Source organism: Homo sapiens, chromosome 13 (genome assembly GCF_000001405.40).
Source record: "Homo sapiens chromosome 13, GRCh38.p14 Primary Assembly".
Lineage (NCBI taxonomy): Eukaryota > Metazoa > Chordata > Mammalia > Primates > Hominidae > Homo > Homo sapiens.
In genome coordinates, this window is record NC_000013.11 from 42,400,420 (window position 1) to 42,424,778 (window position 24,359).

General features: G+C 40.6%; 5 annotated features.

Annotated features, from left to right (window-relative positions):
* Positions 145 to 234: a silencer, noted in NCBI's record as "silent region_5300". NCBI's record gives its function as "represses an Ori minimal core promoter by ATAC-STARR-seq in GM12878 lymphoblastoid cells {active_cell/tissue: GM12878}" and the evidence as "EXISTENCE:reporter gene assay evidence [ECO:0000049][PMID:35858748]".
* Positions 5,167 to 6,366: an enhancer, noted in NCBI's record as "BRD4-independent group 4 enhancer chr13:42979722-42980921 (GRCh37/hg19 assembly coordinates)". NCBI's record gives its function as "activates an origin of replication core promoter dependent on BRD2, P300/CBP, MED14 and CDK7 cofactors, and independent of BRD4, by STARR-seq in HCT116 cells {active_cell/tissue: HCT116}" and the evidence as "EXISTENCE:reporter gene assay evidence [ECO:0000049][PMID:35650434]".
* Positions 5,460 to 5,869: an enhancer, noted in NCBI's record as "active region_7647". NCBI's record gives its function as "activates an Ori minimal core promoter by ATAC-STARR-seq in GM12878 lymphoblastoid cells {active_cell/tissue: GM12878}" and the evidence as "EXISTENCE:reporter gene assay evidence [ECO:0000049][PMID:35858748]".
* Positions 12,474 to 12,623: an enhancer, noted in NCBI's record as "active region_7648". NCBI's record gives its function as "activates an Ori minimal core promoter by ATAC-STARR-seq in GM12878 lymphoblastoid cells {active_cell/tissue: GM12878}" and the evidence as "EXISTENCE:reporter gene assay evidence [ECO:0000049][PMID:35858748]".
* Positions 17,381 to 17,520: an enhancer, noted in NCBI's record as "active region_7649". NCBI's record gives its function as "activates an Ori minimal core promoter by ATAC-STARR-seq in GM12878 lymphoblastoid cells {active_cell/tissue: GM12878}" and the evidence as "EXISTENCE:reporter gene assay evidence [ECO:0000049][PMID:35858748]".

Consider the following 24,359-nt stretch of genomic DNA (forward strand, 5'->3'; position numbering starts at 1 on the left):
AATTTACCTCTGAAAGTTTCTCACCTCCCTTTCCATCTCCTGGATGCTTTTCCCCATGGTGATAGTCTCTCTAAACAGATGGCTCATTGCACAGATGACCTCCTTCCCCAGCCTCCTGTCAAAATCTGTGTCCAAGTTGCTACAACTTTGGACACTTGAGGTTACCCCAAGCTCAACTAGAGCCACTGGTGAGGCATAGCTTTAACAACAGGAAGTGCTCTTCCAGAGCACATTATAGAAGTGACTGTTGATTAAAGAGGTGACAGTCCTAGGGTGTTCTTCATTGGTCAGATCACATTTGTTTAGTTCTGAGGAGCACCCTTTAAGAGGCATGTTGATCAATGAGGGCATATCCAGATGAGGGTGGGACAACTAGATTGATGAAATATGAAGACAGTGTTCTAGGAGTAATGATGGAAGAATTGAACCTTTGAAGCCTGACAGAAGAGGCCAGGATGGTCCTAGAAGCTGAAGGTTAGGAGGTAAAGGTGATCCAGTTTAAATACCGCTTCTGGTGTTTGATTTTAAGCACTACACCTTTCTGCCAGATGATCAACTGACTTGGTCTGAATACCTCTTATGGCAGAAAGCTCACTAACCAGAACCCCAGAACATGGCAGCTACCTTTAAATATTTTACATGGAATGGTGTAAAACCTCCAGAAGGCAGAATATCTGCCAATGGGAAGGAATAAGAAAAAGTCATTCTTCTGGTTCAGAGTCCAATGGACTCTGTCTTCTGAAGTATACATATATTTTTAAAAATTTATATTTATATATACATATGTATTTTGAAAGACAGAACATTCAGAATTAGTTTCTGGCATCATGTTCTATCTTTCAGGATGCATGATGTGCATCTTCTTTCACCCCGGAGTGAAGAGCATGATGACAAATGAGAAAGAATCATTTCACACATCCTGGTAAAATAAATATTCTTTGTCAGAACAGCAGGTGATTAGATCTTCATTTTGATATATGCTGCAGTGTCTTCAGAAATGAACTAGTAAGACCCAATTTCAAAGAGAATGCAAATTTGCAGCTCAGGAATATGTTGAGGAGATTAGAAGCCTGTGTAAAATAGTGTAGAGGTGAATCCACTCAAGGCACATGGTCTTGCATCAGTGAATCCCATTAGGGCAGATTCAAGTCTGGGCACGTAGACTAAGGGTGCCTGATTGAATACTCATTTCTACTACTTGTGGTACCATTATTAGCTGTGACTTTTGTTGAAGCATTAATATGCTCGAGCCATCTCCCAGGTGGAGTCATGGCTTGATTCCTATAAATGATTAATCTTGGGGAAGAAACGCTTGATTCAAAAATTAATTTGAGTAAACTTGCTAGTTTACAGAGTAACTTATATAAGTGGGACATCAGTTGTTATCTGATGTGAATAAGAATTAACATAAAGTGCTTTGCCTGGAAAGCTTTTCTCCTGCCTTTCTCAGTAGAGCGTTCCTTTCTGGGAGGAGAGGCAGAACAGTGTCTGACTGAGAGCATAGCACCTGGAGCCAGGTGTCTTCTGCTTTGATACCAACTTTGCCACTTGTCAGCAGCATGGCTTTGGGCGAAGTACTTCATCACTCTTTACTTTGGCTTCCTAATCTGTAAAGTGGGGATGTTGATAATAAGACCTAACCTGGAGGATCGTTATGGGGCAAAACATATTCTTACTTTTATGGACAAGAAGACCCAGGCTCAGAAAGTCAAGTGTCTTCCAAGTTCACGGAGCTGGTGAGTGGATGGGTCTGGTTTCAAACTTTAGGCTGTCAGCCCCACATCTGTGCCATTCTTCACTAGCACTGCCTCCCAAACTGGCCCATCATGAGAGTCACCTGGAGGTGCCTGTTAAAACCACAGATTCCTGTGAACCAGGAATGTGAGATATTAACAAAGTCCCAGGTGGTAAGATCTGGTGGTGGTGTACCAGAGCTCTCCAGCCCCTGAGCTTTCTTAGCTGGATGTGTGGATTTGTGTGCAGAGGTGTTTTGTTCCCCCTTTCCCATTCATGTGTTTCCAACTTCCCCCTTAACCAACCTTTTCGTTCCCCACAACTTTTCCTGTGTTGTCCACTGTGCCTTTGAGAGTGCTGATTACTTAAATCATCTCTCTCTCAGATTTTCCAGGCCCTCCATGTGTCTCATCACTTTGTTCAAGCTGCCTGACAACCCAGCCTTCGCCTTTAAATGTCCTTGTATCTTCCTTCCAGCTGACCTTTTGTTCTTCTTTCATTGCTATTTTACCTCCCACTTTTCCTTCCCTTTGGGTTTCTCAGAACCCTTGAGATGACCGCAGATGGCATTTTGTATGCCACATTGTAATGAAAACTGTAGTATAAATTATTTTCAGAGTACAGTATGGCATAATAAAGTCTATTATTTATATTAAGTGTATATAATTTTAGTGAAGAGAAAATAATGACTGCTATATATTTGACTGAAAGTGATTATATTTTAATCTAAAAGCCAAAGTGAGTGCAGTGAGCCCTGCTAATAGCCAGCCATGCCTGTGTAATTTGTAGAGAGTCACCTCTTTGACATGCTGTTTCAAGACCTGTATTGTCTTCTTTCGGCAATGCTTGGATTTGGAACATGGAGTCATAGCTGCAAATCCTAATTTCCTGCAAGGCCAAATGATGGTTCAAGAAACAATATTCCATGGAGTAACCTTGATTTCTGCAATTGTGTAGGTCAGAGTCAAATGCACTCATCTGATGTGATGACAAATTAGTTCAAGGGCTTTGGCCCACAAGCTGCCACTCAAGGAGTCAAGCATGAATTTGAGGCACAAATGGGCAGTTGTGTATGCTATTGCGGTCTGAATAAATAGCATTCAGAAGCACTAAATTGATTGCATACCCAGGAAAGGAGAAATAATTGGGCGAATGAAGTTTGTAGCTGGTTATTTACACACCAATGTGGATTTTTCAGTTGAGAGGCACATAATTATTACAGGTCCAGTGGAGGAGTTCTTGGAGAATAGGAATTACACATATTCATGAATAATTACGTCAGTCTCTTATATATTCCATTATCATTACACATTTCTTGCATTTATTATACTTCTCAAGGTATGTGTGAGCAAAGCTTGTAACACAAAGTACTTTCCTCAGGGATCTATAATGTTTTGGTATTTTGAGAATTTATTAATTCAATATTTTTATGGGCCCTAGGCATTGTAAGGAAAAATTCAGTTCAAAATGGTTTTGTTAGAATGACTGAGGAGGTGTAGTTCAAAGATTGAGGTTAAGTCCCAGTAACTGTGTGACCTTGAGCAACTAAGTCACTTTAGCTGTGTAAGCACCATTTTCATCACCTACAAAATGGAATGCTGCCTATCTCATTGGGTTGTTGAGATAATGATATATCATTGCATCCAAGATTGCCTGGTGAACTTAAAAGCCCAGTTGCACTAGATTATCATTGTTTTACGTTTGGTGGAAAGGGACAGCCAGTTGTTTAACATTGCTTGATTCCCGTTGACTGTACCTGCACTGGGCTACCTCTGCTAAGGGTGTCTGTTGGGACTTGGGAAATTTTGATGTGACTGAATTGTGAGATGATATTATCACATGTTGAGAACAGAGAACAACCCAGTCTTTACCACTTGGTGGGGACTGATGCCCATGATGGTGCTGGCTAGTTAGAATGTCAAAGCTAGAGTGGTCTCCTGGGGCTTCAACCACCTAGCAGATAGCTCGTAGTCTAGTGTTTCCCAAATGGTTTTGCAAAGAATTCCAGTCCTTTGGAAGCAGAATTTTATGGCTCAACAAGTTTGGTAAATGCTGTATGTGCTGGCTCCCTCTTAGAGCTAGCATTATAAATGTGTATGTGTGATATAAGTTGTGCTTTCTGAAATATAGAAACTAGCCCCATCTGGCTATTTAACTACAAACTAATTAATAAAATAAAAAATTCAATTTCTCCATTACACTAGCTACATTTCAAATGCTTAATAGCCATATGTGGCTCATGGCTGCCATATTGGAAAGTACATACATAGAACATTTCCATCATTGCAGAAAGTTATGTTGGACAGTGCAGAAAAGGCTCTGAGACCTCTTGCAGCAAAATTACTTATTTAACTTTGTTCATTTCTCAAGCCTTTTAGTACCCAGCAGAGTTGCCATTCTGTAAGACACTGTTTAGAAAATATAGTTTGGCATCCTTGGAGAGATGATTTTTTCTGCCTGAGTATGGTGTTCTAGGAATCTGCTCTGCAGCTCCTGTATCTTTGCAGCTTTTCAAATCCTGCTTCTGTTATGACCACAGTCATATTTATTTGTGTTCTTGTCCATGATGAAAGAGAATTATTTTGCTATTATAAGACATATCCCCCGATGCTTCATATCTCTGTTAAATCTTCCAATAGCCAGTGTTCCCTCGGTTATAGACACAGAACTTCAGGGTTGGGAGAAATCTTAGAAAGCATATAGTTCAATTTTTTTTATTCTTATTTTTGAGACAGGGTCTCACTCTGTTGCTCAGGCTGGAATGCAGTGGCATGATCACGGCTCACTGCAGCCTTGACCTCCTGGGCTCAAGTGATCCTCCCTCCCCAGCCTCCCAAGTAGCTGGACCACAAGTATGCATCACCACATCCAGCTAACTATTTTTTAAAAAAATTTTTATAGAGACAAAGTCTCACTGTTTTATCCAGGCTTGCCTCGAACTGCTGGGCTCAAGCGATCCTCCCACCTCAGCTTCCCTATGTGATGGGATTACAGGTGTGAGCCACTGCACCTGGCCTAGTTCAATCTTATTTTACTTATGATACAACTGAAGCCCAGAAAGATTATATGACTTTCCCAAGGTCACTCAGTTAATAGGACAGTTCATACTCCAGATACCTATTTCTTATTAATGCTGTTGGTTCCTCTCTTCACAATATGAAAAAAAGCAATTATTAATGGACTAGGATTGTGTCAATGGTTATATGAGTTTTATCTCTAGTTAGAAATCTTGCCTATCTTTGTGAGAGTAGGCTCTGAATAAATGTACTCTGTATTTCTTAGCCTAATATGTATTTGCATGTTCTGACTCCATAGAACCCATCAGTGAATACATCACTCTTCACTCAATTCCTTCCCACTGCTTTGTGAGAAAGTCTTTGATGATTTTCTGCAAACAGCCAATAGTATCTTCTTGAGTTTTCATCTACTTTTGTACCCACTTAGTGCTCCTTTGATTAGAGATTCTAACTACAGTATCTGCTTTTCACTTTTTGGGACATGGAATATAAAAGTGGGTGGAAATTGCAATCTGCATAATGGAAGAAAAATTGCACTCCTACTAGTTTATAGAAAGGTTGACATTTGCTGTGAAGCGTTCAGTTCCCGGGTTCTGGTCAGATATGCATTTCTGTGCTCACCACTGTGGAGAGGAAGGTACCACATGGGGGTGTCACGTAGGTTGTAAAAGGAAGACGGTTGTCTGTCAGGGTAGTGTCCCAAGAGAAACTGCCCTATTACGGCTGTGATCTGGAATGAATATACTTCTGGCACCTTTACTAGGATGTCAGTGGGAAAGTCCCATTAGTCATCTTTGCCAGATGGGGGCTTCCGGACACCTCCGCATGGCTGTACATGTCTGTATTAATAAAAACACTGAAGCCACATGGGTTTTGGCCACACGTCTCATCCTGTCGACCCTCTGGCCCTGCAAGGATTACAAAGAGGGAAATAAGTCATGGAGCCTGATCTTTGAATGGTTTTACTTTTGAAATGTGGGAGATGTTATGTTCACTATTTCTCTTGGGATAAACCTCCAGAGAATTTGGAGCTTTAAGGGCAGAGCCCACTTTAGGCTACCCTGGGAGCTCTGAAAGAGGTGCCTTTCCAGGTGATTCTGATAAGCTCTGATGTTTGAGAATCACTGCTTTGAAGAAATCACTCATTTTCTCAGGATGTCATCAGCCCAATAAACAGTGATACAACTTAATTGACATCAAAAAGAATGATACCATTATCTTTGTTTTGACTTCACTGAATTCAAATTTTGCTCTTCTTCATACAGAAGCTGGTATGAACATCCTGGTTAATGACCGCATACTATAGAAGAAGCCCGTTTTGTTTTTCTGCTGCCTGCTTGTGGTGTCACTTTCTGTTCTATTACATGTAACCAGAGTCAGAGGAAATTCTGGCTCAAGATAGAACCCAGAGAGTAAAGTCCCCTGAACTTTTTCTTCCACTGGGTACTCCGCCGGCGATGAATGATCAGGTATTAGGGCAAGCCCTAAAATGCATGCCCAGGACCAGACCCCTTGCTCTGTTCTCTCCTGCTCCGTGGAGGTGATGTGGCTGTTAGTGGAGTTTGTTGTTACGGGTGGACTTGGTCAGTAGGAGCTGCTATGGTTTGAATATGTCCCCTAAAGTTCATGAGTTAAAAATTGAATTGCTGGCCAGGTGCAGTGGCTCATCCCTGTAATCCCAGCACTTTGGGAGGCTGAGGTGGGTGGATCACCTGAGGTCAGGAGTTCGAGACCAGCCTGGCCAACATGGTGAAACCCCATCTCTACTGAAAATACAAAAAATTAGCCAGGCGTGGTGGCAGACACCTGTAATCCCAGCTACTCGGGAGGCTGAGGCATGAGAATCGCCTGAACCCTGGAGGCAGAGGTTGCAGTGAGCTGAGATCATGCCACTGCACTCCAGCCTGGGCAACAAGAGTGAAACTCCGTCTCAAGAAAAAAAAAAAATTGAATTGCCGTTTTAACAGTATTAAGAGGTGGAGCCTTTAAAAGGTGATGAGGTCATGAAGGCTGTGTCCTCGTTACTGGATTAATGCTGCTATCTGGGTTAATTATCTCGGGAGTGGGCTCCTGATAAAAAGTTAAGTTTAGCCTCCACTATCTCTGTCTGTCTCTTCTGCTCTTACCATATGATGCCCTTCCGTCAGTCATGGCATAGCAGAAGGTCCTCACCAGATGCATCCCCTCAATGTTGGACTTTCAGTCTCCAGAACTGTGGCCAAATAAATCTCTTTTCTTTGTAAATTACCCAACCTGTGGTATTCTGTTATAGCCACAGAAAATGGACTAAGAAAAGAGCCTATCTGATTGCCTGGATCCAGAGCTTTATCTGCAGTGGATGTAATCCTCTTCTAAGAGGGGAAGCTCCGTATAGAGAAAACAGCCCCAGGAAAAGAGCCAGGAGACCAGAGTCCTGCCTCTGACTCTCCAGTCAGCCAACTGGTGGTCCTGGACATGTGTGTTCAAGTCTCTAGGCCTCTCTTTCTTAACCTGTAAAATGAAGTTGGTGGTAGCGGTGCAAGTTAAACTGGATTTACTAAATCCAGTGGCCTCTTTGTCATTTTATTTATATATCAGCTATAACATTTAATATTGTTGATCATTTTCTCCTTAAAATATTCACCTTTTTGGCTTTTGGGTCACCATTTTCATGTTGGTTCAACAAATGTTATTGGATTAGGCATTGTCTTAGGGAGTGAGAATACATGTAAGACAGTTTTTGTCTTTGAGGTGCCCACAAGATATGTAAACATCATCTAACAATTTTTTTCTCTCTCTGCTCCTTCCTTCAAATCTCTATTTACTTCTTTAATTTTTGTTTTTGTTCTATAACTAACTGTCTTCAACTTCTCTGTATATCCTCCTTGGAAGATGGTACTCATCACCCTGGTTTCAACTACCATTTAGATGTTGTGGATTAAAAACTATTTCTCTTTAACCATGATTCACCCTCACTCACCCTTGAGTTATGAAGTTTTATTTATATCTGCATCCCAGTCATTTTTACCTGGGAATCCCTCTGGGATGTCCCATTCAAAAAACCATAAACCAAACCCATTTTACCTTATCCACTGCTTTCCTTCTGCTATTAAAACCCACTCCTCCTGAGTTTCCAATCCAGGGCATTGCCATCCATTAAGTCACTCAAATTAGAAACCTCAGAGTCATGTACCTCTTCCCTTTCTCTGCATCTAGTTGGGCACACAACTTTTAGAATCCACCTCTGATGGATTCTGATTGGCCTTTGTCCCCTTATTCCTATTACTCCCATTACTGCCCTAGTAGAGGCCCAGGTGAGTGCTCATTGGGATATCATCAATTTTAAAATGTCCTTCACATCCCACACTTTATCATCTGCAAAGCCAGGAAGCATCTTACAGGCAGCAGTCATGAGGGGGACACCATGGTCTGTGCGTGTGCATCCAGACTTGCAGAATAGGCATCAGGCACTTGGAAGAAAATCCCAGAAACAACAGTGGAGCTTTATAAAAACACAGAATGCTCCCTCCATTCACATTCTAGATAGCTTTTGAGTGGACAGTGCTTCAGAAGAGTCAGATTCTGAATAGAAAATAAATGTTAGAAATACCTTGACCAAATTATTTTGCTTATATTTTCCCATTTATGTATGTGCAAGGGTGATATATGATAAAAATCTGACAGTATAAGTATAAAGGATCCCTTTTAGTAAGTATAAAATACAAATTCCAAGTGATAAGAAACATTAGGTTATTGTTTAATTGGCAGACGTGTTCTTTCTAGAGGTGAATATAATAGTGGTGTGACATCATCAATGTCATCTTAGGCTTGAAAAAATACAGATAAAATGCAAAAATCTCTGATCAATCAATACTTTCATTACTCTTTTCAGCCCCTCCCACCTTCAGTGTCTTCTCTTCTGATCCGTTTTTCACGTTGCCATTGGCACACCCAGATCTGATTATATAATTCCAATACTTAGAAATATTCTGTATGGCAGAGGTGCATCAGAGTCACCTGGAGGGCTTGTGAAAACATAGATGACTGTGCTTTAGCCCCAGCCCCAGAGTTTCTGATTCCATAGGCCCAGGCTAGGGCTGGGCCATTTGCATTTCTAATAGGCTGCCAGGTGACACTGATGCTGCTGACTGCTCAGCGGCCACACTTGGAGAATCACTGCCCTTTGGTATAAAGTTCACACTCCTTTATGGCATTCAAGGCTCTTTCCCAAGGATCCTTGCTATACATCTGCAGCATCATTTTTCAGTGTTCTCACACACTTTATTCTCCATCATGCTTGGAATTCTCCATTCAGACCATGGAGGGTACTTCTTGATCTGTGATTTTTTTTATACACTGCCTGATAGCTCTTAAAAATTATTCGACTTTTAAGATACAGTCCAATAAACAAATTCTTCAGCAGAAAATATTTCTTTCAGCAGAAAATATTTCTTTTACTTATCTTTCCCAAAGAGGTAAATTTCAGGATGTTTATCTATTAAGATCAACTTCTAAGATAGCTAAGCTTACTGCTCAGGCTTTTCCAGTAATTAGAAAGATATTCTTTGGGGACCATCAGGTCACAAAGTTTGATGGGGTTTTCCAATTTTCTGGATTATCAATTTGGCAATCATCCCTACACTAAACACAGAATTTATTATGAGTCAATGGAGTCATTATTATGACAATTTTAAATATTTATAAGATGTTGTAAATATATATAGTACTGAAAAGCACTTTAAACTGCACCAAGCCAACAAAATCCTCCCTATTTCAATGTATTTATAGTTCAGGCTCATAAATAATATAACAAGATAAGAACTGTGGGAAGTGGGAGCATAGGCAGAGTGGGAATACAGGAGGGTGATGTTAAGGTGTGCTGTGAAGCAGACAAACCCTGAATTATGGCCTGCATTATGTCATGGCTTTTCCAGATGTGTGGTCTTTGACAATGGACCTACATTTGAAGTCAAATAAGGGTTTAAGCTGTATGTTTTTAGGGGGAGTTGCCACTTTGTTGATTTGTTTAAGTCATGGACTATTTCCTGAGTAGGAGTCTTTACCAGTTTTATATATTGTGCATGTATGTTCATGTACATACATACACAGACACATCTAGACTCACACACACCTAGAGCCACACACACACCCAGACACACACACACACACACGAATTCTTAATCCATAACAACTTCAGAAATGCAGAGTTAGTGGATGTAAGTATTGTCCTCTGGTCTGCTCAAGTTTCATGAATACAATTTTCATCCTTTCATTTATTCATTGAATGAACGCTGGAGTACATAGTGTATGCAAACCTTATGTTGACCCTTAACATGCAACAAATAATAAGTTTACACAATAATAAATGAATAAACAAATGCCTTTATAGAACTCAGAATACAACAGGAACAACTTAGAATACAATTATTATACCTGTCTACATTTCCAGCATTTCCAGAACCCTTTCCATGTGCCAGGCTCATGCTAGAATTTCCACACATTTTATCAGTTGACACAACTATGTAAAGTTGAGTACAATTATTATTCCTGAGGATATGGATTCCTAGGGAGGCTAAGAACCTCATCCAATATTACATAGCTTAACAGTTGTAGAGCCAAGATTTAAAGCGAGCATAACCTTATGCTATGTAGTTTCTAGTCTACAGTGCTGAAGTCTCATCAGGGAGATAGATTAATAAGAAATTACAATGCTGTGTGATAAATGCTATGGTAGGGAAATGCACAGGGTTGTGGGAATACATAACAGGGGGCAAGAAAATTTTTTCAAAGAAAATATGGTCTAGCAGCTGGCCAGAACTGGGGGAAGGGCATCTACAAAGGTCTGGAGGTTTGAGAGAGGTCTGCAATATAGGAGACTGGGGGAAGGTCAGAAAAGTTGGAGCAAGAAAGTCCCCTCAGCTAACATCAGCCATTCCTTGTGTGATGTCAGTTGCCAGCTGTGTCAGTCAGCGTTCTCCAGAGAAACAGAACCAATATGGTGTATACACAGATATATAACAGGAGGTTTATTATGGGAATCAGCTCATGGGATTATGGAGCTCAAGAAGTCCCATGATCTGCCATCTGCTAGCCGGAGAACCAGGAAAGCTGTGATGTAATTCAGTCCAAGCCCGAAGGCTTAAGAAACTCAGGGGGCTGCTGGTGTAAGTCATGGAGTCTGAAGTCCTGAGTGCTTGTAGTTCTGATGACCAGAAGAAGATAGAGATAGGAGAAGCCTCTTCTTCTCCACAGGAGAAGGAGAGAATTTTGCCCCTCCTTTGCCTTTTTAGAGGATGCCTGCCTACCTCGGTAAGGGTGATCTTCTTCACTTAGTTTACCAATTCAAATACGTATCTCCTTCAGAAATACCCTCATAGACACACCCAGAAATATTTTACCAGCTGTTTGGACATTCGTTAGCTCAGTCAAGTTGACCAATAGAACTAATTAACACACCAACCATACACTGGTGACTCCCAGTCTATATCTCTTGTAGTTTGCTCATAACCTGATTGGATTTTCGATGTAAATGTTTCAGCCTCAACAAGGTTGCAAACATCTTGTGCACTGGGTATATGTCTCATAATGTGTGTACTATTCAATGTAGCCAGCACCATTCTTTGTTTCTGGCAGGCAAATTTCATTGAAATTTGTAGAATAAAGTGCATATTTTCTGTTAAACAGTGTGCAAGGTTTAGTGCTCTTTTCTATGGCTGCTGAGTTATTCTCTGCCTTTCTCCAAACAGAATTAAGTAGGAATGTGACTTCATTTCTGCTTGTCCCTGGAGCAACTCTGCAGATTCACCTGGGCTGTCTAAGGCAGGAGTGATTTTTGTAAAGAGCTGGCTGCCTGTCTGCATGGTCTTGGATTGCTTGCAGCCTGAAGGAACCACTGGAAATAAAGTACGTAAGGAGCTAGGGTGTGCTCATGACAAAAGAAGAGGGAAGGAAATACATAGAAAAAGCAGAGGCTTCCCCTGTCCCTTTCCTGTCAAGGCCACAGTTACTCTCAAGAAGCTGCATGATTGACCCTATTGGGTGCTTTAATACCATTCCTAGAAGATGGCCAGGTGCATACTTGCACTTCAAATGTTGGCTTTCAAATATAGATGTCAGAGTACGAAGACTGAATAGCATTCAGGGTCAGTTCCCAGAATTCCAGCCTGGCTTTCTCAAGGTAGTAGTCACTGCCTTAACCATTTCCATCCATGTCCCCACTCTTTCCATTGGGAAAAATATAACTAAATTTTTTTCATCTACTCCCTGTAGACTTTGAACTGGTTTATGCTTTAAAGACCACCAGTGCCTAAATGTCCCCTCATCATTGGCTCTTTTCCCATTTCCCAATGATTTTCATGTCAATGAAGTGTATCAAACATTCTTACATCACACACACACACACACACACACACACACACACACATACACACACAGATGTCATTTTTTTTCAGACTCTTAGCTCTCCATGAAAGAAAAGCAATAGTAGTACACTAACATTTAATTACATGTCTTTTTCCAACTATTTGGTAGTACTTTACATGAGGTTTTGGTTCTTTTTCTTCAAATATGTAACAATCTGACAAAATATCCATATTTCCTTCAAATATGTAATCACCTCGTTCGGGTGAGACTTAGGTTTTGGGGGTTTTGAAGCACAAATCATCTGTATAACCAAGAGAGAATGGCTTCAGGTGTTCTAAATATTTTTTCAAAATGCACGCACACAATTGAAAGTCCTTTAATAACAATGAAAGATGCAGTTTTGGCCCTAGAAACTCCCTAATGAATCAATACTTTCACTATGAATCAACTAAAAAGAAATTTAAAATTAGTTCTAGGGCCTGCTGAAATTCATTTGAAAAAAACTAATTTTGCACTCAGAAATCAATGTCTAATAGCTAGGTTTCAGCAGCCTTGATGGTGATTTGTGAATGTCAGTGGCAGCCCCATAGCTCGCTCGTGATGCTGTTCCACCTGGAATCCACTGAGGTAGATGAGTTTCACGAAGGTATCAGTGGCCTTGGCATCAGATTTTACGTGACACTTTTCCTATGGTTGAAAACTGAGGTCACATATGAAAGATAAATGCAATAAAAAAATAGCAAAAATCTACCCAATAAACATGCAGCAAGAAGGCTGTCTTTATTTCTTGAATCTGGTATATATATGACATGCATATTTTGTTTTTCTCCATTTGACTAAGCAATCATCTTAAAGTAAAAGATTAACATATTGATGGACTGCTGGTAGTATGGGGAATTAACTGACAATTTTGATTGATGAAAAAAATTGTTTTTTGTTGTTGTTGTTGTGGAAGAAACAGATGTCTGAGAAACTTTAAGAAAGTCTTTTCTTCTACTAGCCATTGGATTCCAAGAGCTGTAATAAACTCCCTTGAGGATTTCGGAGTCCTTTGTGATAGCCTGGTAACACTTCTGGAGCAGGGCCCAGCAAACTGGAAATGTTCCCATTCTGTGATCACTGAAGAAGCAGCCCTCTTTTTGTATCAGAATTTCTGTAGCTTGCTTTGAATTTATTTTTAAGAATTGAAAGCAGCGCTCCAGCTCTTCAGTCAGTACGAATGAAGAAAGCAGACCTCTTCATGCATGTTAGCTGGGTTCTTCCATTGAAGAGGAGCTTTTGGGACTTCATCCAGAGGCCAGGAGGTACCCTGCCTACTGCAGCACTCCAGGCCAGATGAGAGCAGCCCCGCAAAACCATAACATGAACTTTACAGATACTTCCGCCAAGCCCTCAAAGGCTCATGGCTCTTATGGATCCCAGCCTGGTTTGCATGGCTCTTACTCCTGGGCTCTTTTCCATCCACTTGGATTGTTTCTCTTAAGAGCCACTCTACTCCCCAAGTTGAGGCCACACTCCTGGCCCTAGCTGTAAAGCAAGGTGGTCTAATGTATAGTTGAGAGTATGGCTCTGGGCCACACTATTTAGGTTCACATACCAATTTCACAACTTACTAACTGGGCAAGTCACATAAGTTATCTGTGCTTTAGTTTTGCATCAATAAGATGGGGGGTGGGGAGTTATAATACTACCAACCTCATAAGATTTCCAGAAGATTAAATGACTTTATTAGTCAGGGTTCTCCAGAGGGACAGTGCCAATAGGATATATGTATATATGAAAGGGAGTTTCTTAGAGAGAAACTTCACAAGGTGAAGTTCCACAATAGGCTGTCTGCAAGCTGGGGAAGAAAGAAGCTGGTAGTGGCTCAGTCCAAGTCTGAAAGCCTCAAAACCATGTAAGCCAACACTGCAGCCTTCAGTGTGTGGCCAAAGGCCTGCGAGACCCCCGCAAGCCACTGGTACAAGTCCCAGAGCCCAAAGGCAAAAGAACTGGCAGTCTGATGTCCAAAGGCAGGAGGAGCAAAAGGGAGCATCCAGCAAGGGAAAAAGATGGAAGCCAGAAGTCCCAGCAAGCCAGCTTATCTCTCCTCCTAGCCACACTGGCAGTTGATTGGATGGTGACCACCCACATTGAGGGTGAGTCTTCCTCTCCCAGTCCACCAACTCAAATGTCAATCTCCTCTGGCAACACCCTTACGGACACACCCAGAAACGATACTTTACCAGCCATCCAGACATCCTTCAATCCAATAGAGTTGACACCTAGTATTAACCATTACATTGACCTAATACATGTTAAGCACTTAGAATGTTGCCTGATATGCAGTAGATTCTAAGTAAATATTAGCTGTTACTATCATCACATCATTCACTTTATTTCACTCACAACATTTACTAAAGCAGTGAAAGTGGAGGTGGGGGGATTGTTTCTCACGCAGATGCCAAGCCCTGAGGCAGTACACACCTCTTGCCCTGTTGAGCTGCTGAGGCTTCACAGGAAGGAGGCACCTGCAGAATGAGCTTGATGGAGCCCATCCTGCCATAGCTCTGAGCTGGGATGAAGCCCTTTCCAGTGGCTGAGCCACAGAATTTCCTCCTGGGGGTGGCGTCACCTGGAAATGATGGCGTTGGTCAGGTGAACTTGGACTTGTGGCTATTTCTGCAGCTTTCATGTAAAATAATAGCTTGGGAATAAATTCACACTCAACTAGGCTTCTCAGACTATGCTATAGATTCATTATTTTAAAAGTATCATGAAATTAAAAATACCACTTTTATATTCATTTGGCTATAATATTTTCTTTAAAATTCCATTTGTGTGCCCTCCTTGAATTAAAGCCATTTGGAAGCATTAGTTCATTGCCCTTTAAACCTGTATTTGTGAAAACCTTTGGGTCAACAACTCTGGTTTTTGTTTTGACTCCCTGTTCTGGTAGCCAAAATGTGATTGCAGTTCCAAGGCGAATCTCATGTATGTATTCTGATTCTGATGGTGTTCAATTCTTGAATGTCCACCACCAAAATGCTGGTGGGCATGTCTCACTATTTCAGTGTGATTTAGTTCTTCTGCCTGCCTGCGGCCAGGATAAAGAATAATAGAAAATGAGGCTCTGCATTCCAAATGAAACGTAAACAAATCCCTTTGCCTTAGGTTGTTCTCTGGTTCCTAGTTACAGTTGCTCCAGCTATACAGTCGTCCCTCAGTATCTGCTGGGTATTGGTTCTAGGACCCCCTTAGGTACCACAATCCCTGGGTACCTTTTAAGTCTCTTATATAAAATGTCATAATGTTTGTATATAATCCACCCAATCATCCCGTATACTTTAAATCATCTCCAGATTACTTTTAATACCTAACACAATGTAAATGCTAAGTAAATAGTTGTTATACTGTATTTTTATTTGTATTATTTTTTATTGTTTCTTGAAAAATATTTTTGATCCTCAGTTGGTTGAATCTGTGGATGTGGAACCCATGGATAGGAAGGACGGGCTGTAATATGAGCCTTTTGGGAATCATGTTTTATCTTTCTTTACATCTCCATGGTGCTCAGTACTTACAAAGTATCTCATAAAAACCTCTGATTGCGCTTTGGTAAATAAATGCTTGTTGAATGCATGAATAAAAACCAATAATCTTTTTGTACTCCTTTTTTGGGTGGTCACAAGACAGGTTCTCTGTACTCTGCTGTTCTGTTTCCTATCCAAGCTCATGTTAAACTTTAAACTGGCCGGAGGTTCATAACAATCGTAGCTCAACTTTTGCAATTCGTGGATAGTAAAGCTTAAAACAAAACAAAACAAAACAAAACCCCTGGGGATTAACATATGGTTTTCAACTTATTCCAAATAAGAAAGTTCATTAAAAATAACTAGCATTGGCCTGGTGTGGTGGCTCACACCTGTAATCCCAGCACTTTGGGAGGCCGAGGTGGGCAGATCACGAGGTCAGGAGATCGAGACCATCCTGGCTAACATGGTGAAACCCCGTCTCTACTAAAAATACAAAAAGTTAGCTGGGCGTGGTGGTGGGCGCCTGTAGTCCCAGCTACTCGGGAGGCTGAGGCAGGAGAATGGCGTGAACCTGGGAGGCAGAGCTTGCAGTGAGCAGAGATTGTGCCACTGCACTCCAGCCTGGGTGACAAAGCGAGACTCCGTCTCAAAAAAAAAAAACTAGCATTGTGCTATGCTGAATAATGGCCTTCAAAGATGTCCATGTCCTAATCCTTGGAACCTGAGAATATGTTACCCTTATGTAATAAAACTGACTTTGCAGATGTGATTAGGTTCAGGATCTTGAGATGGGGAGATGATCCTTGATTATCCAGGTGGGCCCAGTGTAATCACAAAATCTTTTTAAGAGGGAAGCAGGAGAGTGACAGTCAGACAGAGGTTGGAAGATGCTACGCTGTTGGCTTTGAAAATGGAGGAAGGGTCCATAAGCCAAGGATGGAGGCAACCTCTGTAGGCCAGGAAGGGTAAGGAAAGGGATTCTCCCAGAGCCTCCCGAAGGGGCACAGTCTTGCCCATCCATTTTGGACTTCTGACCTCCAGAACTGGAAAATAATACATTGTAATTTTTTGAGCTATCTGTCACATTTGTGGTAATTTGTTACAGTAGCAACAGAAAATGAATACAATCATCTATATGTTCCATCATTCCATTAAATGAAGAATGTTTTTTGTTTGTTTGTTTTTAGACAGAGTCTTTCTCTGTCACCCAGGCTGGAGTGTAGTGGAATCATGGCTTGCTGCAGCCTTGACTTCCAGGGCTCAAGTGATCCTCCCACCTCAGCCTCCCGAGTAGTTGTGACTACAGATGTGTGCCACTATGCCCAGCTGATTTTAAAATATTTTTAAAAATATTTTAAATATTTTAAAATATTTTTAAAAATATTTTAAATATTTTAAATATTTTTTAATAGAGACAGGGTTTCACCATGTTGCCCAGGCTGGTCTTGAACTCCTGGCTCAAGCAGTCCTTCTTCTTGGCCTCCCAACGTGCTGGGATTACAGGCGTGAGCCACTGCATCCAGCCAATAAACCTTTAAGGTCAAAAAAGCAGGGAGATGAGATCTCCTAAAAGCACATTGGCAATTTTGCATGATATACAGATGTACAGAGAGGTACATGTATTTGGGGGCTATCAAGGCATAGGTCTGTTGTTCTTAGCTGTTCCGAAGACAACAGGGGAAAATACCATTGTGGGTGTGTGAAGGAAACCCAGAGCTACCAAGTGAGCTACCCAGAAGCTACCAAGCAGTGTAAAGAGCTACCAAGAGCTACCAAGCAGTGTAAAGAGCTACCAAAAACCCAGAGCTACCAAGCAGTGTAAAGAGCCAGCCCAGCCTCTATCCACAGGTGCAAAGCTGCCTGCCACAGCCTTCTTTCATGTGTGAAGGCATAGCTCTCCTACTTCTGAGCACTTTCCATTGACTTCCAGAAACATGCTCGATCCAGCACTGGAGAATATGACTTGCTTTTTCAACGGGAATTGAATTAGGGAAGTTCCATAAGTTTAATTTAAGTCTACATGAAATCTATTAAGCGTATTCAGATTCTATTCCAATACATTTTAGAGTTCATGAATAACAAGTAAATGTCTAGACTAGCTTTGTAGAAGCCCTCAACTTTCAGAGTCTTTTCAGATTCTTTCTTTAAAATATCTACATTTTTCTCTTGTATAAATATTTTTAAAGAGAGTCTAGTGACAGGGCCTGAGTGCTTTGCTATATTCATTGTGAAATATCTTCATTCTTAACTCTGTTCTCAAATTGAAGCCTGTAGAGGTGTGATCAACTTAGTGAGCCTAATTTTCCCTGGCAGTTCCTTGCACTGGATGGAGAAGGGAAAATGAGGCTCATTCTTGTGGCAGGAAATAGCCACCCCTTCACCTAGCACTGCATAAGGCTGCTCCATGCTGATTTCCTCACAATGGCGATATGGACAGACAGCTTGAGAAACGTGTTATTTCTCTCATAAGCTTCAAAGTCATGGTAACAGTACTGTTCTGATGAGCTTGATCTCTGAAGTCAGACAGACCTGGGTTCAAATCCTGGCTCTGTCACTGATTAGCTGTATGATATTGGTAAGTTGATGATCTCTCTAAGCATCAGTTTCCTTATTTGGGATGGTATTAGCATGATTTACCTCATTGTGAAAACTGAATGGACTGGGAGCTGTGGTGGTTCAGGCCGGTTGTCCTGGCATATGAGGAGGTGAGGCTATGTGTTTGAGGCCAACCTGGACAACGTTAAAAGCCTCACATCCTTAAAAAAAGAAACTTGAATAGAAAGCACTCAGCACAGAGTACTTAATATTAATGGTACTTAATCATTATTCAATAAACGTTGCTTTAATATTGTCTAGGTATCATTTATACAAATTTTGGAGATGTTGGATGACTAATATTCTCTGTATGCTAAAACTCCAAAACTTTTCCCTCCCTTCCTGCATTGATGTCTGAAGATTGATTTGATAGGAGGCAGTTGTTACTCAAAGGAGTTAGCATCTAATGGATGTTCTCTGGTAACTTGGGTCCCTCTGGAGTTGCACATTAGATAGCTCGGGTGATGGGGGCATTGGCTGATAGTTTGATGTTTGCTTTAGAATGCATGTGCTATTTCTGTGGAAATCCCCTTTATATCTATGAGATATCCACATGTCAAAAGTGATTTTCATCTTCATTCTTTCCCACTTCTCCTCCCATCCTTCTGACCCCCTTACAGGACAAGAGCTTCATTATCCCTTTTTCTCAGGTTTACTTGAGAGACTTCTGTCTTTGCCAGGCTTGGTACCCAGACCATCTGGAGGCTATTGAAAGGGAAGGATCAGTCCATAGTGAGAGTCATTCATTTCTCCCTCCAGCTCATCCCTATCTGGGTATTGGCTGTCAGCACTCTACTAGGCTCACAGTTCTTGTTTTGTTTTTCAGACAGGCAGCTTGATGTCATGGGGCCCCATACACCTTTACCCTCACCTGCCAGCAGATGCTACTTGCCCATTAGTTCACCGTTAGATCCGTGTCGCACCATTTAATGAGACTTTTAAAAGTACCTTTTGCAGCAGAAGCCTGTCTGTTGGAAACATATCCCACATTTAGTTCTCTGTCTCTCTCACTCTCATACTTTCTGTGTTCCCCGGATCATGATAGCTTGATAGCACCAGCAAGTTGATATCTCGGCATCATCTTTGATCCCCTTCATCTTTACCCTTACAGCCACTCAACCTTCAGATTCCGTTGCATCTGCCTCCACAATCCTCCTTGACTTTACCTTCTTTCCTTCCCCACAGGCATTGTCCTAGTCCAGGCCACCTTATCTTGCCACCCACAGTGCTTCTGGATTGACCTCTCTGCCTCCAGTCTTTTCCCAAATATTGCAGAGAGAGTCATCTTTCTGAAACACACATCTGATCACCAATGATGCCTTGTTGTCCTGTGGATAAACCGCATGCTCTTCAGTGGAGCTTACAGCATGGTGCACCATAGCACAGTGGGTCACAGGTTGAACCTCAAAGTCAGGCATATGGGTTCAAAGGATGGCACCATCACTTACTAGCTTTGTGATCTTAAATGAGTTGCTTTACCTTTCTGTGTCTCAAGTTATCTCAAAATAGAGATAATATTATTTCATAAGATTGTTGTGAAGAGTAAATGTGATGATACATGTAGAGTTCTTTGACCAGAGCCTGATATATACATTAGGCATTCCAAAATGTTAACTACTGCGACCGCAACTGCTGCACGGCTAACTGCAGATGCCCTAATATCCCACTGCTGTCCTGGCTGGGGTACTGGCAAAAGGCTTAGGTTGTCTAGAAATCTAACTTTCTTCCTTCAATATCTGCAATGAAAATGGAGCTGAAGGATATTAAAGAACACCATCGTTTCTGATCCCCAATCTGAAAAATACTAAGGAGATGACACCAGCATCTGGAGTGGGTGTGCGTGGGAGGGAAAGGAGGAGGTGAAGATGTGATTTGATGTATCACTTCAGCTAGAGATGTAATGCAGTGGAGTGGTTTTTACCACAACTGAAACCAAGAGTGAAAGATGAATTTAAAGGGTTCTAGATCAGTCTAAACCAGGCTGACTTTCTCTAAGTCCAGCAGGGCATAGGGGCTCCAAGCCTGTAAAAACTGGCATGGTTTCTGGGCTATACAGATACTAATATTTCACACATTTGTAGTCTCCACCTTGTTGCATCAAAGCCTCATCATTTGGACTCTGCAGCTGTAAACAAAAATTCTATGACTTTAAAAAATTCAATATACAAACTAAGTATAGGGAAAGTAATTATGTTTCAAAGGATAGCTTTAAAAACTTTGTAATGCTCTCCATCCCTAAATTTTCTTAGGCCTAAATAAATGGCTTTATATTCCTAAAGAGGGCCCATTATCTTAATGATTTTAAATTGAGCTTTCTAGAACTATACCATTTTTGTATAAAAGTTAATTAGATAAGGCAGCATCTGCACTTTTTTCTTATCTATTTATATGAATGAGACCATCCTTTGAAAAATGTGCATTCTGTAGTGGCCCACTGAAGGGAAATTAGACAAATGCAGCCAAGAGAACCCTTGTCACCGACCAGCCAGGGTGATAAGAATGCCGATTAAATGCACACCTGATTTGTTTCAAGTAGGATGGGAGTGTATCTATTTCATTCAAAGATTTCTTGGATTTACCTTCCAGAAGACTCCTGTGTTTGGGATTGCCCTAGATCAGTGGTTCTTAGCCAAGGAGGATTTTGCCTCCAGAAGACATTTGGCAATATCTGAAGATGTTTTTAGTTTTTACAACTAAAGGGGTGGGTGTTACCGGCATCTACTGGGCAGAGGCCAGGGATGCTGCTGAACATCCTGCAATGCATGGGACAGGCCACCACAGCAGAGGACTGTCCAGCCCCACATGCAGTTGCAAGACCCTGGAATAGATGTTTTTGGCCTGGCGGGATAGTCTGGGTGAGGCTCCTTCTGGTGCTTATCCTGAATCTCCATCCAGAATAGCTCTAGATAGGGCTTAGTCCAGAAAGGTCTCCAGTGAACTCTTGGGGCTAGAGAAATAAGTTTTCTCATTATTCCCCTAAAATCTCCCTCACTTGTTTACTGAGTTCTAAAGTTATATCAAAATTTGAAATGAGGTTTAAATTGTGACTATATCTGAGAAGGAGGACAGGTTGACTTCAATTTTAAAAAATACATGGGCAGTTATAATTTTCTTTTCTTTTTTTTTTTTTTTGAGACGGAATCTGGCTCTGTCAGCCAGGCTGGTGCCATCTCACTGCAACCTCTGCCTCCCAGTTCAAGTGATTCTCCTCCTGAGCAGCTGGGATTACGGGCATGTGCCACCATGCCTGGCTAATTTTTGTACTTATAGAAGAGATGGGATTTCATCATGTTGGCCAGGCTGGTCTCGAATTCCTGACCTCAAGTGATCCACCTGCCCTCGGCTTCCCAAAGTGCTGAGATTACTTGTGTGAACCACCACGCCCAGCCTATAATTTTCTTGACAAGCAATTTTGATGAGGTAGGGAGAACACAAAGTCCCTAGGCAGGGTTGCCAGATTTAGTAAATAAAAATACAGAACATCCAGTTAATTTGGATTTTAGATAGGCAAGAAATAATATTTTAGTGTTTGTCCCAAATATAAGACATATTTCTACTAAAAAGTTATTTGCTGTTTATTGGAGCTTCACATTTAATTGGACATCCTGTATTTTATCTGGTCACTCTGTCTCTGAGTGATCAGAGAAGGTGAAGGTAATTCTTGAAGAAGAGAAAAGGCCAAGAGTTGGGGGCCTATAAGACATATTGCATCTGTGATAACTTATTTAATCTCTCTGTTCCTGAGTTTTGTCAGGTGTTAAGTGGGGGTAAAAATAGTACTCACTTTACAGAGAAGTTATGAGGATTGTTAGTTAATGTATATAAAGTACTCAGAAAAATACCTGACTACGTAAAAACTTTGTCCATGTTAGCTATTATTATTATTATTAGGACTATAAGTATCATTCCAAGGCAACTGGGTGCATCTTGGTCTGGCCTTTTCTCTTTTGTACTACTGAAATTAACTTTACTTTTATCATTTGGAAGGGTAGCAAATGAGGAATCCTTTCCCCCCACTTTTCCAAGGGGGTTATATGTGTGGCTATTATTTGGTACTGCTATTGGGTAACAGACAACCTCCAAACCAAGGCACACATTTTGCCTTGAAAAAGATTAATTGCCAAGAAGAATCATCTGCATTTCAGAGTAGCCCCATGTTTGATTTCTGCCAGTTGCCAACCTGACAGTACTTGCATTAATCCTGTCAGATATCAAAGGTGAGTTACAGTCACTATGGAGAAAGAATCTGTGTCAGTACAAGATAATTTGTCACGCTGATTCTGCAGTGAAGAATGATTAGAGTTCTGGGTAGAGCAATTTTCCTGGGGATATCTGAATCTATATCTACAGCTGAATGTAGCAAAGAGTTTCTTCAACATAGGGTTTAAAAAATCCTTTTCACAGAGATGTCCGAAGTATTCTGTTCTTCTTTTCAAAAACCTTTAATAACTTTTTCTTACCTACAGAATAATAGAATTGTATGAGATCACCTAACATCTGAAGGGAGACCAGGGTAAGATTAACCCAGAAGAAACCTAAGAAGGAAGACAGGAGAAGAGGGATAGAGTTTTATCTTGAAGCCAATGGAGAAGAGCATTTCAAAATAGAAGGGTTGGTAAACAGTGCCAAATTCTTAGGGTTAGGAATCTGTTGGGAAGGAGTTTAAGAAGACTTTTGATCTAGATGATTACATAAATTGTTACTTTGACAGATTTTTATCTGCTCCTAACACACAGTAATGACAGATAAAATATGAAAGAAGAAAATTCAAAAGATACATTTAGGCTAAAAGATACAGTCACTGAAATGAAAAAACGAAAACAAAAGCAAAAATCCTCAATAGGTATAATGAGTTATAGTTTTAACACAGTTAAAAAGAGCATTAGAAATTTGGAAGATAGTATAGAATAATTAACCCAGAAAATAGAACAAAAACATAAAGAGATTCAAAAATATGAAAAAGGTGTTAAGAGACACAGCAAGTAGATTTATGATTTTCCATATTTTTAAGAGGAGTTCCAAAGAAAGAGACTGAATAAAATGCTAGATATTTTAAGAGGTATTTGACATTTTTCCTGAATTAAAGAAAGACATGAATCCTTATAGCAAGTGTGCACTTATGAACTCAAACTTACAAGTAGGACTAGTAAAGATAAATTCACATTGTTATGGGTTGAATTGTGTTCCGCAAAAGATATGTTGAGGTCTTAACCCTTGACTGTGAATCTATTTTTGCACATAGGATCTTTGGAGATGTAATCAAATCATACTGGATTAGGATAAGCCCTAATTCTGTGAATGGTGACTTTGTAAGAGGAAGAAGAGGGATATTTGGATACACAGATACAAAGGAAACACAGGGAAGAGGTCCATATTAAGGCAGAGGCAGAGATTGCAGTGATGCAGCTGCAAGTCAACGAACATGAAAAATTGCCAACAACCGTAAGCTAGGAAAGAGGCAAGCAAGGATTCTTTTCCACAGCCTTCAGAGAGAGCATGGCCCTGCTGACAATTTGTGCTATAAAACCCTTTGAGAACAGTTTGACAGTTTCTTAAAAGACTAAATATACACTTACCATACAACTCAGCCATTTTACTCCTAAGTATTTATGCAAGGTAAATGAAAACACGTCTACACAGAGACTTGTACATGAATGTTCATAGCAGCTGTTTGTGTAATATCCAAAACCTCCCAAAATGCAAATAGCCATCAACTGGTAAAATAAATAAGTTATGGTATATCTATACAATGAAATACTACTCAGTGATGAAAAGGGATGAACTATTGATATACACAATTGTAAGGATCCATCTCAAAATCATTATGCTGAGTGAAAGAAGCTAGGTATAACAAAGAATACATACCGAATGATTCAATGTATTTTATGTAACATTTTAAGAAATGCAAACTAATATATAGTGACAGAAAGATAAGTGGTTGTATGAGGATAGGGGTGGAGGGAGGTATGGATTATTAAAGGGCACCAGGAAATTTTAGGGGTGATAGAAATGTTCATTATTTTGATTGTAGTGATGTTTTCAAAGGTGTATGCCTGTGTCAGAATTCATCAAATTGAACCCTTTCAACATATACAGTTTATCGTAAGTCAATTACACCTCAATAAAAAAGCAAAAAAAAAAGTATACTCATTAAAAG